We start from the raw sequence: 16,424 nt of genomic DNA on the forward strand, positions 1-16,424 counted from the left end.
TATCAAAGTGATTATACCAATTTACACTGCCCCCAAACATAAAAGTGGGAACACTCTTGCCAACACAAACTGAGATTTTCGGAATCTAACTTTTTTTTTTTTTTTTTGCTTAATGTCCCTTGGAAATTCCAATAGCACTTGACATAAAAATGAAACCGTTTACCGTGGCCTACAGGGCTTAGATGACCTGGTCTCTGCACTTCTCTGTGGACTTATCTTCACCTTGCCATAAGGCTGCAGCCTCATGAGCCTCCTTTCTAGCCCTAAAACAAGACAAACTCATTCCCCACCTGGGACCCTTGTACCTGCTCTTTCCTCTCCTGGAAAGCACACATCCCCCAAGTCCAATATCTGTTCCTCAAGGAGGACTTGTGTGACCACCAATATAAAATGCATTCCACTCCCCACCCCTAGTTTCTCCCTTTAATGCTATTCTGTTTTCATCAGATCACATAAGCACCACATAAAATTATCTTTTTTATATGCTTGTTTATTTATATTGTGTCTATTACCCCTAGAATTTATAGTGTCTTGAAATGTGTAAAAGACTGCTTTTTGAATTAATGCATTTTTATAATTAATTAAGTAATTGAGTAAACTTACCTAGCTGTGTGATAATAGGTGTTATGTTTTTTATTCTTCTTATGCATTTATTTATGTCAAGCACAGTGCTTGGGACTAGTGGATGTTCAGTAATATTAATAATTGAAATAATTTGGCTCACATTAATGTTGAAGTGGAAAGAAATTTTGTGTCCTAGATTGGCCAAGTTTTAAGATGGGTTGATCACTCTGGGCTCTGAGAGATTAGAAAGAACTATGTTTACTCCTCTGTAAGAAGGCCATTTAGATAACCCACCTGACTGTCCTCATTATCAATTTTCTCCTTTTTATTTATTTGGTTTCTTTCTATTGTCTGTTCACTCACCCTTTGATGGATAATGCTCAGGCATCTTCTGCAGGTTAGCCTGACACTAAAATTTAACTCTCATATTTTTGAAGCTTCGATAAAAGTAGTCGATGCTGGAAAACTGTCTCTGACACAGTGAGCAGCTCTTTGTTTTGCAGTAAGTGGAGTCTTTAAAAAGATTGTGATTTTTATTGTCCCTTTCTTTGTGACAATCGTGTGAAAGGGTCAGTTAATTATGCAAATTTGGAACTTCTGAGAGGAAGCCAATTGAGAAGCAGTGAATGAAGCAACCCAATCACCCTGGAGGCAGAGATACCCCGTCCTCTTACTTGGAGGCTGTCTCAGCTCAACTGAGTGCAGTGACTCTTTACCTGCATACGGCTTGCGAAACCCACTCAGAGTCTATTCAATGGATCTGCAGCAGGGTCTGAGAATCTGCATTTCTAACAAATCCCCAGGTGATGCAGATGCTGGTGGTCTGAGTGCCACACTCAGAGAAACACTGCTATAAGACGAGCTGTTCTTTTCCCCCTGAATATCTGAATTTGTCCTTTTTGAACTTCCCCTTAGACCCCAAAGGCCTATACTCAAAACTCCAATTGTATATCCAGCCCCATCTTCTTTTTGGAGTGGGACTCCCATGTCTTTCAATGATCACTAGACATTTCCAACTAAATGAGATTTTGACGGTTCATACTCAATGACCTTGGGAAAGTGCCCTAAAATCCAGCACCATTTCCTCTTCCATATTTTGAGAAATAGTGTGCCTTTGTTTCTCAAGTTACCAAGACTTAAATATTTTTCCACCGTTTTACTTCTCGATCTGAACTCTTGGTTTACTTTATTATCATAAATATGAAGAGTGATTTCTAGCTAGAGTAATAGCTACTGATGACAGATACATTTATCACTGTGGAAAAAACACCTACGTCAGCTCTTTCTGAATTCTGACGCACAGATCAAAGCTTGGTAAGTCTTGGTAGTCTGAACAAGCGCCTTCTGGAGAAGTTTAAATGTAAAACAAAGATTTCCAAGTGCCATCATGGGTTAATAATTTTGAATCAGAAATTGTGAGAATGATGCCCAAGAATCAGCATTTTTAATAAATAAGCCTTGGGCCAAATTTGCAAGCCACTGACTTAGATCATCATACAATAAGATATTTTAATGCCACTTGGTTAAGTCTGGAATAATTTAATCCTTCTTTTATACTTAAGGGACTAAATCAAAAGGCACATTTTCCAGCAATATTAGTACTTCCAACTCTTCTTTTTCCAACAGTGACTTGATGTGTGTGCAGATCAATGTTAGTTTTATGTTACTATATTGGTGTTATTTTCTTTATTCCTTGCTGATACCCACTTTGGGACTCTGCATGCAAAGTGCCTGGATAATGATGTAACACAGAGAAGGGTCCTCACCTTGGGTTTTCCTCTAAGACTCCTCTGCTAGCATTCCTCAAGCTTGCCAGAGCAGTTTATGCACATAATTGATCTAATCTTTATTTATCAATGAAACTAGCCCTGCGGTTTTTCCCAGAAGACTCTTTGGATAACACAGAGGCACAACAGAAAGGGCACCATGTTAAAAATAGAATAAATAATATTTTACAGCCAAAATGATTGTCACCACCTGTTATATCTTTCTCATCTCTGGGTCTCTCCTTTAGATGCATTTTTTCCCAGAGATTTCTTCTAAGGCAGAACCAGCAGGGAAGAAAACAATCAAATGCTTTGCAGCCTGGAGTAAACTTTCACAGGACAGGAGAAGATGTGAGATTCTCAGCTTCTCCTCCCAATAAAAACAGCAGCAATGGAACAGCATCTCATATTTAGATTTCAACAGACTGGAGTAGGGACAGGGGACAGAAATTTTGCAAATGATGCAGCTTAGTCAATGAATGGCAACATTTCAGAAAGCTTAAATTCATATGATGAGGGAGGAGATATGTCTGGGAACGAAAGACTAGGGAAGAGTCTAGGTGTTTATTCAGCATCTTCACTGCCCCATCTCTGCACACAGTTTTTGCTCCATACCTTCTTTGCCACCAACACTACTGCCCAAGTAGTTGCTTCTACCACATTTACCACCACCATCACCTCCACCATCTCCACTGCCACAACCCCACCATCAGCATCACCCTCTCCACCACCATCCGTTCCACCATGACAATAACTTCCAATTCCAACTCCACTCTCATCTGGACTTTCAAACCTGCCACTTCCATCACCATCACCTCACCATTATCACCACTCATCCCACCACCCTCACCCCTCATGTCACCATTATCACCCCTCACCCCACCACCATCACCCCTTACTCCACCACCACTACCCACCAACCCCAGCTTTCCAGCTTCCTCCTGCTCACCTTCACGTTCTCTCTGCTGAGCAGAGGAGCTTCTTAACACTGGAGTTTAAACAATTGATGAAACATCATCCGTGTGTTCTCTCTACAATAGAGCAGAAAAGATACAATTTCTTTTTTGGACTCACATGAGTAATTCATATTTCCCATTTGCCTAGGGCCAGGTTTTCAAGAACAAAAGCTCTCAATAGGAGAGGCTGTCCGGAGACCTTGTATCTCTGCTCTGTATTTCCATCCCCAGCAGGAATGGTTCGGGGCACTGCTTGGCTTTGCCCTGGGTTACATTTTCCTCTATGCGAGTTTCCAACCTGAAGTCAGATCTGTTTAAAATAAAATGAAAGCCTCTGTCAGGGAGAAATATCAAAGGATGACTCTTGCCTAGAGGTAGCACCTACTTTTAATTTTTAAGTATTTTATAGAGAAACATGTAAATTTACACAATCTGCAGAATTGTTATTTGCAGGAACCTATGGTCTCTTCAGAGGGAAATTAGAAGTTAGAAAGTCTTAAGACCTTGGTTTGCTGTATTTTAAAAGGTTCAGTTTTTCTTAAAATGACGGTGTGAATCTTTTACTCAAGAATTGTAACTAGGCTGGTCACGGTGACTCATGCCTGTAAGCCCAGCGCTTTGGGAGGCCAAAGTGGAAGGACTGCTTGAGCCCAGGAGTTCACATGGCAAGACCTCATCTCTACAAAAAATTTTTAAAAACTAGCTGGGCATGGTGGAATGTGCCTGTCGTTCCAGCTACTCAGGATGCTAAGGTGGGAGGATCACTTGAGCCTAGGAGTTTGAGACTGCAGTGAGCTGTGATTGCATCACTGCACTCCAGCCTGGGCAACAGGGTGAGACATTGACACACACACACACACACACACACACACACACACAATTATAATTAAAAAAAAACGAGCAGTATCAATGTCTTTGTTCTCACCTCTGTATCTCTACAGCTTCCTCCTACTCCGACTTTCACCTCCACAGTCTTTTGTTTGTTTGTTTGTTTGTCTGTCTTTGTTTGCTTGTTTGTTTTTGTCTGTCATAAGCATTCCAAGATGAAAAACTGAGTGCCTGTCACAAAACTGAAAAAGTTCACAGCTCTGAGCTCACAAATACATGGTTTTGGGGTTACATAGGCCAGATATCCAGTTTATAAAACAAAGAAATATAGGCTTGGCTAATGCCCAAGGATAGAACACCACCCATGATTCCGTATTTTTTAAGATGCGATGGTTTCCCTGGGCAACAGTGTTGAATTACGTACATGCATCACGTACAGCTGTATACAGCGTGTGGTCCATATAAAATTAAGCCCACGAGGACTGATTCCATACAGGAAGCTCCTCATCTTCGTTTCCCTACTACATTTATCATAATAACAATTCAAATGGTCTGGATACTAAACATAACAATTCCTGAAAGGATCTTTCATTTTAGACTGCTTGAAACAATGATTTTTTGATAATGAGTGAGCACTCTGAATTGAAAATGATATACAATTTACTGCAAATAATCATACACTAAAAACATATATAGGAAGGAAGGAATTAACAAACTGGCTATAAACATATTTGATTCTCAATCCTAAGAGGACCACAAATTATATATATGAACTTTGATGAGTTGGGTTATCTGAGTTTTATTTTCTTGATTTGTAAACAGGAATAAAATACCAAAATTATAGACAATATTTGCAAAGTGCTTGGCTCCTGCACGCAGTAAATAGTGTCTCTACATACTTTGGCTTGTGCTCTTAGTCTTTAGTTCCTTCTCAACAATCCTGTGCCTAAGAAATAGGTATTGCTGGTTGGTATCTGCTGTACTGTATGATCTATGTTCTTTGCTCTTTGTTTCAAAATCTTACTACCTTATTCTAGTTTGGAGTCTTTGTGAGAGGCACAGGTACATGGTCTGATAACATTTTGAGTCTTTAATCCAAGTGCTTGTCACCATTGTCTTTGGCAGAAGCATTATGTCTATGGAATTAAATTTTTTTTTTTTTTCACTGTACAGTTTTAGTGTAGGAAGGGAGAGGAAACCACTTTCAGTGGGATCAGGTTTACTTGGCTTGGAGAAGAAACTGAATGTGGATTCCTCATCAAGAATATGCTTGTAACACTAGTAAATATTTCCCTAGTAACAATAGCTGGGAGGAGGAAATCATGTTTAATAACTTAATGCCAAATAGCCTGTGGCTTACAGTGGCACGCATGAACACACACACACACACACACACACACACACACACACACACACACACCACGAGCTGGCCATTAGCTCAATAACTGTTTTAAAACTCTATTATTTATCTCATTTTAGTAAATCAGATAATCAATATTTATCGATTATGTTCATCACCATTTTGGTAGACACTATGACGGATAACAAAAGGTAATAGGCATAGTCTCCACTTGGAAAGCCATTACAGTATTTAACAAAGCAATACAACCATTTGATACCAATTAAAAGTAAGTTTTGGTTTGGAATGGTAGTAACTTCCAGTGACGTGAGCTTTCAGAGGATGGCAGCTAGTTAATATAGTATTCTCTTTGAAAAAGACAACTGTTGATGTGTGGAGTGTTAGCTATGTTCAAATTGAGAACGTGAGTGAAGACTTATTATTCCCCTTCTGTTAACATCTCATCTCTTCATCTTTCTGGATCTTAGGCTTTTTTTTTTCCTCGACATTAGTACTGTACAATTGTAATATGTAATTTAAGATATTCTAATAGCCTCATTTTTTAAAAAGTAACAATAAGTATCTGGAATTAACTATAATGATATATTTTGTTTAATTTGATATATCCCAAATATTACCATGTCAGCATATTGCACTGGCACGTTTGAGGCACCCGATAGCTGCATGTGGTTAGTGGCTACCGTAGTAGATATGGTGGCTCTCGAGGGTCCTCATGCAGTGGCTGCAGGACCTGACCTGAGCTTCATCACATCTCTTATTTTAGAAAAAAAAAGCTGACTCCATTGATGGACGTTCAGCATTGTGTCAAGAACAGGGAATTTCTCCTGTCAAAGCCTTCTTTATTGTTTCTTCTTCAATTTACCCACAGCGGTCCTGGCTAGGATCCTGTCATGGTTCTCAGTCCTTCCCTCTTTCCTTCAGTTGCTGCTGTTGCTGTCCAGCTGAAGATTAAGGTAGAACCAACCGTGGAGGAGCTGCCATGGGCTTTTGTTGTCTACGGGTTTGGGGATGGGACATCCAGAGGGGCCTGGCAGGAGTTTAATTAGGATTACAGATGAGGGAGACAGAGGAAAGCAATGGCAAGAGAAGGGGGCAAACCTGAACAGAAGGTTCCCTCCACCCTTCTGCTCCCTCTCACTTCAATGCTGGAGTAATAGGATCTGCCAAATCTCACTTTCCCCACCTGGGATGGTGTTGGCAGGTGGTAGGGTCAAAGAGTAAAGAGAAGCGAGTCTCATGTGGGCATTTTCAATTCCATCACATACTTTTACTTACATTTGCATACAGGTCAGAGTCAAAAATATTCTATTTTGGTACCTGATCTGAAATTATTTGTAAATAAGACAATTAAATTCATTTACTCCAAAACCATCACCTCAACATCTGAAGAATGCCCAGCATTGAGCCAAGCACTCATGTACTAGGAAAGGTAGGAAGTGGCCCCCGTTCTCAAGGGTCCCTGTCACACATTAGCTAGGAAGTTTGGAGGGGTCATCAAACTGAAACTTTCCAGAAACATCTGTCTGCATTGAGGGTATATTCAGGACAGAAGGGTTACAATCATGTCTGCTTCATTTTTACTTGTATGTAGTATACTTTTTAAGTTGTTTTTCAAAAAAGTTAGTATCTAAGTGGACAAAATTAATAGGAGCAATTATAGGAGCATAACCTAGGTAGAGCTGCCTAATGGTTGACCTTCTAACAGTGGAATTTCAGTCATCACTAAATACGTAGAAGACGCATTCAGGGAATACACTGTCTTTCTACTCCCTCAATTATGTCACTGCTTTATCTGAGAGCAATGGAGTTGTGTAGGCTGGTGCACTGAAAACTGTCAATTGGGAGTCAAATATCTCTCATTTTTCAAGTAGTAGCCAGCCTCTGGGGTTTGAGCAGGTCCCAGTTCAGCCACCTGTTTTTTGTTTATCTTTGGCCAATCACTTAAATTTTCTTAGTTTTTTTTTTTTTTTCCACTTCTAAAATGAGACTAATAACTTCATCTAGTTACCTATCAGTTGCAAAGAAATGAGATAAAAAAGCTATCTATGAAGACACATCTCCTCAAATGTGTTTGGCATCCCAACAGTAAATATAGATCATGTTACTCTTGAAATAAAGGCCAAAAAATGTCTTCACTCCCCGTGTAGAATAAAATGCAGTCTGCTTATTACAGTCTTGACCATGCACACCAAGGGCACTGTCTCCAGCTGACACTGTGCGCCAGTCACGTTGGCCTCTAAACATGTTCCTCCCTTTGTTAGCCCTTTTTTGTCTTTGGAATGTTCCTCCCCAAGGGCAAAGGTCAACAAACTTTCACTCTAAAAGGCCAGATAGTAAATAGTTTCATCTTGGGGGCCATGAGGTTTCTGTCACAACTACTCAACTCTGCCATCAGAGAAGAAAAGCAGCCATAGGCAATACATAAACAAATGAGCAGGCCTCTGTTTCTCTGTTCCAACAAAACTTTATTTACACAAATAGGTGATGGGCTAGACTTGGTCCATGGGCCACCATCGTTTGCTGACCCCTCCCTAGACCTTTTCATAATGGCTTTTCTGATCATTTTAATCTCAGATCAATTAGGATCTAAGGCCTTCCTTGACCACTCTTTTGAACATCTCCCCACCCCATCTCTTGATTGTGTTGCTCCGTTTTATTGTTTTCTTATTATTTATAACCTCAATTATCTAATGTATTCATTCGCTTATTGATTTATTGTACACATCCATTTTCTGTACCACCATAATTCTAGTTCGAAGGGCAAGGTCTGGAAGAAAGTAGATGGTAGGTGCTCAATAAATGATTTGTTTCATGTGTGAATAAATAATTACCCAAAGAATAAAATTCCAGAAGGAAAATTCTGAATTTTAGTGATAGGAAGGCAAGAACGCTTGGGGGTAGTCAGAGGCACAGGAAGATCAGAAACTCCTGCAAACTATGAGCCTTCCATATAATCTTTCACAAATGAAGCTTCTAAAAAGCTGACCTGTATGAAACAAGGTAGTTTTTTATTGTTGTTGTCTGCGCATGATATAGACTGTTAATATCTCACTATTTTCTGGCTATAAAACAAGCATACTGATAACAGTAAAAATCAAAGGTATAAATAACCGGCCCATTAGCAGGCTGTATGCTTGGAAATGGTTTTGAGGGAGACTTTTAAAGGCAGCTTTTAATAAGACCAGCCATTCATTCCCCATGCAATCAATCAGCATTCTCAATCAAATGCCAATGGCATGCCTTTGTGGTTGCTACTGAGGATACTGGCAAAATGAGGCAGCCTCTGCCTTCTCAGCCATCAAGAGTAATTATGTAATGCCATATAGACAAAGATTAGACCTATAGTGATAGGGGGATATCAGCCAGTGTCCTGGCCAAAAAAAAAAAAAGGCTCACATGAAAGGATTTAACCAAAGAGATGTTAATGAAGCTATGCCACTCTTATGTACAGAGGTGAGGATGAGGCTAAAGAAACCATTCAGGAGATGTGAGGGACCCTGGGTCCAGCAACAGTTGGAAACCACTCTAACCTGTAGGCTAGAAGTCTTAGGGAGAAAATGATATTACCAGAGTCCAGTGAGAACTGATGCCTGAAGGAGGGGCCAGCCAATAGGAGTTCTGGCCGTAGAGAAATGTGGCTCTTACTAGAATCTCATCAAGACAAGCTTTCTATACTTCCACCCTGCCTGACATAACAGGAAGTCAGAGGGTAAGAGAGCTGGTGTATGCAATTCATGGGAGTCGGGCTTTCAGAGCACCAAGTAAGGTGGAGAAATGCATGTGACATTAAGAACTGAGAACAAAAGAAACATAACAGGCACAGTAGTAAGAGTAGGTAAGCCAGGTGATAAGAGAGATTGCATTTTGGAAGTCTGTATTTACTCCATTGATTTTATTTACTTTGCAATATGTGAATGCAGCAGAAAATAAGGGATTAAAAAAGCTTTTAGAAATGTGTATTTTTTAATACTTAAGGATGTAGGCTAGAAGAGTTCTAGGATTATTGGCAGAGTTTATCTAACTCAAGCCAATTCATGTGAAGTCAACCAGAGTCTTGAAGGATTAGAAAATACCTTTCTAGCCTGTTGCCTGGGGAAGAAACATTCCGAACTAAGGATAATCTTTTGCCTGGGAAGAAGAAACCATAGAGTAAAATTCATCACCAAGATAACATTGAATCTTCATTACTGCCCAAAAAGAGAGAGAGAGAGAGAAATTTAACATATTCCTGGTAATGAAGGTCAGTCACTTATAAGCAATAATTTCCTTTTTTTTGACCATTATCAATAAAAATGAAATCTCTCTTTAGCCTGCCAAAAGAAAAAATTATAAAAACAGGACCTGTTACAGGCTCTATTACAGAACTTTGAAACTGGTATCTTAGGACTATGCTCTCTAACAGAGGGTCATTTCTTCAAGTAACTATATGTTGAACTCTTATTATCAAATGATGAATTCCAGTCTCCCAAATTACTACTTGCTTTTATTAATTGAGTTAGTGATGCATTACCTCACTTTGTTGCATAGTTTTTGGTCCACCAAGTGGCTGCACGAAAGAAGGAAATGAAGTGCTGGGGATTTCCTTAGGCGATTACAAGAAGACAACTTTTAATACCAAAGTATTTATCATTTATGATTTTCCTAGTTGTCTTGCAGTGATCTAAGCAACTTGTTTTGTGATTTATTATAGATCTTATTTAGGTCTGTTTTTTTAAAGAGAAGTTTCAAGGAAAAAGGAACCTCTATAAAATAATTTCAGTCGGTGTCGCTGTTCAGTAGATGACATCTGCTGGAATGAATATGGTCTAGATGCTGCTCCATCTCCTTTACAGATTGTATGCTTGTCTAGAGGATGTATGCCACATTTTATCCATGAACCTTTTCTACCACACGCACCATTCTTTATCCCCATGCCCCATCATTACGCCAATGCCATTCCCTAATAAATGAATGTGAGGGGTTTTAATTATTTTGTGCCAAATTTCTTCAAGCAACTATATGTTGAACTCTTATTATCAAATGATGAGTTTGAGTCTCCAAAATTACTACTTGTTTTCATTAATTGACTTAGTGATACGTTACCTAACTCTGTTGCATAGTTTTGGTCCACTAAGTGGCTGCAGGAAGGAAGGAAATGAAGTGCTGGGCATTTCGTTAGGCGATTACAAGAACACAACTTTTAATACCAAAGTATTTATCATTTATGATTTTCCTAGTTCTCTTGCAGTGAGCTAAGCAACTTGTTTTGTGATTTATTTATTGGAACTTACTAAGCTTTTTTTTTTTTTTAGATAGACGTTTCAAGGAAAAAGGAAGTTTCATAAAATAATTTCAATAGATGTCTCGTTAAAATTCAAGTTGATTTCAGTGCTATTCTGACCTAGCTACCAACTAGCTTTGAGACCCCAAACAAGCCACTTACCCTCTGTGATCCTCAGTTTTCTCATCTCTAAAATGAGGGGGATGGGCTAAGTTGTCCCTAAAGCCCTCTAAAGTGCTACATGCTGTAATTATGAGTCTATGTTATCCCCGGAAATATCATGAAAAATAAAAATAAAATTGATTGAGTTGAAAATGGTCCAACAGTTACAAAGAAATATTTGACATTGTAATCATGCATCAGTTAGTTTTTGGCTCTTTAATTTTGAAAGCAGATGTTTGATTGCTTGTTTAAAGCCTGCGTAAAAAACCCCAGGCAAACCTTGCAAAAGCTCAAAATATTCTTAAGCAGGGATATCAATTGCATAATTTCCTAGACCTTGCAGATTGGTTCAAATTAACCCACAGCATATTTGAAAGCCTTTTTCTTTTGTGAGCATCTAACCAATTCCCCATTGCTCTCCTCCTGGGTATCTATTCGTTATCAAAACCGGAAGCACAGTGTGGCATCCAAATTGGAGTTCAGTGTCAGCAGAGGTTACATTTGTACATTTCCCAGAAAAGGAACAATTATTGTCATAGGAGAGGATTAATGTACGGCCATTTTGGGTCTTTATTATAATCTTTTCTTTAAGAATGAGGAATTGGAATGTTAATGTATTCAATAATCTATGAATTATACAGGTATGCTATAGTGCTTTGACCTTTTCAACATTTGGTAATTTTGATTGAGTGGCTGTTCTGAGCCTGTTCTTTTTAACAGCTCTATTATCCTGTGGAAAAGAGGAAGGCTAGCCAAATTTCAAAAACACATTTATCCCGAAGCAAGAATAGAGGGAATTAGTTACAATGTGCCAGAGAGAGTGCAAGATGACTTACAGACCTTCTCTGATGTAACCTCAACAACATCTCATGAGATAATATTATTATCACCATTTTACAGATGAAGAAATTGGGACCCAATGCATGCCTCATGGGTAAGAGGCAGAGGCAATAATAATCCCAGTACTATATGATATCAACATCTATACACTTGCACAAAGGTAAGAGGGAGAGGCAATTATTACCCCTGTACTATGTGATACCAAATTCTATACACTTCCTACTCAACAGGTCTTTGATTTTTGAAAGTAGTAAGTGTATCTATTAAGCAGTAAATACCTGTAAACATCCTGCATTAGACTGTTCTCACACTGCTAATGAAGACATACCTGAGACAGGGTAATTTATAAAGGAAAGAAGTTTAATTGACTCACAGTGCAGCATGGCTGGGGAGGCCTCAGGAAATTAAAAATCCTGTTGGAAGGCACCACTTCACAGGGCATCAGGAGATGGAACGAGTGCTGAGGGGAAGGGGAAGCCCTCTATATAAAACCATCAGACCTTGTGAGAACTCACTCACTATCACAAGAACAGCATGGGGGAACTGCCCCCGTAATCTAATCACCTCCCATGAGTTCCCTTCGACAAAACATGGGGATTATGGGAACTACAACTGGCGATGAGATTTGGGTGGGTGCACAGCCAAACCATATCATTCTTCCCCTGGACCCTCCCAAATCTCATGTCCTCACATTTCAAAATGATATGTCTCCGATGAGTGGAGGAACACCCGGTTCTTCATCTTCAGTCAAATTAGATAAAACAACATGGATACACATGGAATGGTTTTGAGAAGTGGAGAGTTTAATATGCAAGAAGGAAGTGGGGAGAAAGAAAGAAGCAGATCCCTGGTACACAGACAGAGGGAGGGGGCCTCCAAAGCCAAAAGAGGGAACTTCAAGTGCCAAGGATACCAGCCAGTTTTATGAGTAGGCTGGAGGAGGTGGTGTCTGATTTGCATAGGGCTCACGGGATTGGTTTCACCAGGTATGTCGTTCACATAGCCCGTGAAAAAGCTGGCCCTCCCACCCTAGCCTGTTGATATGCAAATGCAGGGCACCATGATGTTCTACACACTGGGGATATGTGGGGGTGGCTATGCTGCTAGGCATATGTGAGGGCAAGGATAAGAGGACAATGGTGGTGAGAATTGCCATGTTTGATGGACTCAGTTTCTAATGGCTGGCATTTGCACATCAAAGATTGCCTGCCAGGCTCTAAAAGTGGGGGTTTTCCTTCTAGACAAGAAGCATTTTTGCAGCTGCTTTAAAAGAAACGAAAACTTTTTCTATCTGCCTAAAATAATTTCTTAATAACTCCTACCACAAAAACACAACCCCACTTTCCCAACAGTCCCACAAAGTCTTAAGTCATTCCAGCATTAACTCAAAAGTTCGAGTCCAAAGTCTCATCTGAGGCAAAGCAAGTCCCTTCCACCTATGAGTCTAAAACAAAAAGGAAGTTAGTTACTTCCTAGATACAATGGGGTACAGGCATTGGTTAAATACATCCTTTCCAAATGGGAGAAATTGGCCAAAACAAAGGGGCTACAAGCTCCATGCAAGTCCAAAATCCAATAGGGTAGTAATTAAATCTTAAAGTTCCAAAGATGATGTCTTTTGACTCCATGTCTCACTTCTTCTGAGTCATGCTGGTGTAAGAAGTTGGCTCCCACAGCCTTAGGCAGCTCCACCCCTGTGGTTTTGCAGAGTACAGCTCCCCTCTTGGCTGCTTTCATGGGCTGGAGTTGAGTGTCTGTGAATTTTCCAGGTACATGGTGCAAGCTGTTAGTGAATCTACAATTCTGGGGTCAGGAGGATGGTGGCCCTCTTCTCACAGCTCTACTAGGTCCACCAGGCAGTGCCCAGTGGGGACTCTGTGTGAGGGCTCCCACCACCCATTTTCCTTCCACACTGCCCTAGCAGAGGTTCTCCATGACGGCTTTGCCCCTGCAGCAGACTTTGCCCCTGAACATCCAGATGTTTTTTTACATCCTCTGAAATCTAGGCGGAGGTTCCCAAACCTCAGTTCATGACTTTGGTGCACCCACAGGCTCAACAGCACTTGGAAGGTGCCAAACCTTGAGGCTTGCACTCTGAAGCCATGACCCAATCTGTACCTTGGCCCCTTTTAGCCACAAATGGAGCGACCGAGACACAGGACACCAAGTCCCTAGGCTGCACACAGCAGGGGGCCCAGGGCCTGGCCCATGAGACCATTTTTTCCTCTTAGCCTCTCAGCCTGTAATGGGAGGGGCTGCCACAAAGGTCTCTGACATGCCCTGAAGACATTTTCCCCGTTGTCTTGGTGATTAGCATGTGGCTCCTTGTTTCTTATGCAAATTACTGTAGCAGGGTTGAATTTCTCCCCAGAAAATTGGTTTTGCTTTTGTATTGCATTGCCAGGCTGCAAATTTTCCAAACTTTTTTTTTTTTAATGCTTTAAGTTCTAGGGTACATTTGCACAATGTGCAAGTTCGTTACATATGTATACATGCGCCATGTTATGCTCTGCTTCCTCTTGAATACTTTGCTGCTTAGAAATTTCTTCTGCCAGATACTCTAAATCATCTCTCTCAAGTTCAAACTTCCACAAATCTCTAGGACACGGGCAAAATGCCACCAGTCTCTTTGCAGAGCAAGAATGACATTTACTCTAGTTCTCAACAAGTTCCTCATCTCCATCTGAGACCACCTCAGCCTGGACTTTACTGTTCATATCTCTGTCAGCATTTTGGCCAAAGCCACTCAACAAGACTCTAGGAAGTTTCAAATTTTCTCACATTTTCCTATCTTCTTCTGAGTCCTCCAAACTGTTCCACCCTCTGCCTGTTATCCAGTTCCAAAGCTGTTTCCATGTTTTCAGGTATCTTTACAGCAGCACCCTACTCTACCGGTACCAATTTACTGTATTACTTCTCACATTGCTAATAAAGACATACCCAAGACTGGGTAATTTATAAAGGAAAGATGTTTAACTGACTCACAGTTCAGCATGGCTGGGGAGGCCTCAGGAAAGTTACAATCCTGGGGGAAGGGAACTCTTTGCAGGGAGGCAGAAAAGAGAATGAGTGCCAAACAAAACGGGAAGCCCTTTGTAAAACCATCAGATCTCATGAAAACTCTGTCATGAGAACAGCATGGGAGAACCACCCCCATAATCTAATCACCCCCCACGAAGTCCCTCAAGCAAAACATGGGAATTATGGGAAATGTAATTCAAGATGAGATCTGGGTGGAGGCACAGCCAAAACATATCCCATCTTAAAATTTTATCTTATTCCACATTGAGCTTTCAAGCATTTATTAGTACTTATGATGCCCTGTAACCTTCTGTAGCTGGTAGAATGATGAAAAAGACCAAAATTCCCCACCCCAAAGGAGATTAGAGCTGCGGAGTATATTGACTCAGGGTTATGGGAACACAAAAGAGATGGTGAAGCACCCAGAGATGAGTGATTCTGGTGAACTGGTATGTAACACTTCTGCTCAGAGCATAAGGAACAGTGGAAGGAAACAGTGTTACCAGGGCCATATGGAAATTTGAACAGTGGATGTAGGACTACCCAGTAGGAGCTACTTCCAAAAATGGTATGCTATGGCTAGAAAGGAGGGAAATAAAATAACCCATTCTCTCTGTTGTTCTCTGTTCTCTTACCAGTGTCCCCCATTAGCTGAATCCAGCCAGATGTCAGCCATCACAAAAACTCAGTCTCTAAGGGTTTCACTCAGAGCAGGGCAAGGATGGATGGAAAGGGACTGGGAGGAAGGCATGTAGAATCATCAACAGAAGGGCTTTCCAAAACTAAAGAATAATGTGGCTTGAAGATAAAGTCACATCTCCATTTCTTTCAAAACAGAGTACCAGCAATTTTTAATTGATTTTTTCCTCAGCTTCTACTTACCAAAATTCTCTGGAGTTTTAACCAGAGTAGTCTTATGTGTGGAATGAAGAGGGGAATAAATGGTACCAAGGATAATAGGATGAGCTCAAATCAGTCTGTGCTTATGACCTTAGTGTTAATACTGTGAAATGAAAGAAATATCGTCATTTCTCATTTTGGTGTAGAGATGCTAATTCTACACTCCTCTTCAAATTACTGAGATAATAGTATGTGACTGATGATGAATTCCTAGATAACACTGGGCTGTGTGCCTTTGAAATATTGAGAGAAAAACTCATGATATTGATAGTCCATTAGACTAGAAGATGAGATTTCAAAATGACAATGGTAATGAGGGTTCGTTTTTGGCAACCACCTTGATTCAGTTCTATAAAAGGCAAAGAAATAAATACATGACTCCCCTGAGTGACATTTAGACAAAAGGTGGTTCTGTGCCATTGTCGGATAGCTTTCAAAATCAATGGATTCAGCAAGTTTTGTTCATTTCAGATATTTGGTACATCAGAGTTCCATGTTAGTTTTTTTTTTTATTTTAAGATTTAATTATTAGAAATAAATGTACTTAGAATATTGGAGACAGGAAAGAATATTAGGAAATTTTGTTATTGCTAGGAAGAATCTAAAAATAGCGTTAATTGATTAAAAAGTGAATTATTGTGTTAGAAACTTTGTCTTTTAACAATTACAAACCAAAATTCTAAAGGAATATCTAAAAAGCTTATGTAATAAAGTTTCAGAAGACTAGGAAAAATAGCCTTATAAGCTCTAGATCCTCTCTAACAGAG

At 40.0% G+C, this 16,424-nt stretch overlaps 1 protein-coding gene across 10 annotated transcripts in view, besides 1 other annotated feature; it reads left to right on the forward strand.

Annotated features, from left to right (window-relative positions):
- DPP10 (dipeptidyl peptidase like 10) overlaps positions 1-16,424 on the forward strand; it is a 1,403,140-nt gene that overhangs the window by 365,813 nt on the left and 1,020,903 nt on the right. The window lies entirely within an intron of this gene.
- Positions 12,630-13,163: an enhancer, noted in NCBI's record as "NANOG hESC enhancer chr2:115578660-115579193 (GRCh37/hg19 assembly coordinates)". NCBI's record gives its function as "activates a minimal SCP1, AML or CMV promoter by ChIP-STARR-seq in naive and primed H9 embryonic stem cells {active_cell/tissue: H9 hESC(naive and primed)}" and the evidence as "EXISTENCE:reporter gene assay evidence [ECO:0000049][PMID:30033119]".

The sequence above is a fragment of the Homo sapiens genome, chromosome 2 (genome assembly GCF_000001405.40).
Source record: "Homo sapiens chromosome 2, GRCh38.p14 Primary Assembly".
NCBI classification, from domain to species: domain Eukaryota; kingdom Metazoa; phylum Chordata; class Mammalia; order Primates; family Hominidae; genus Homo; species Homo sapiens.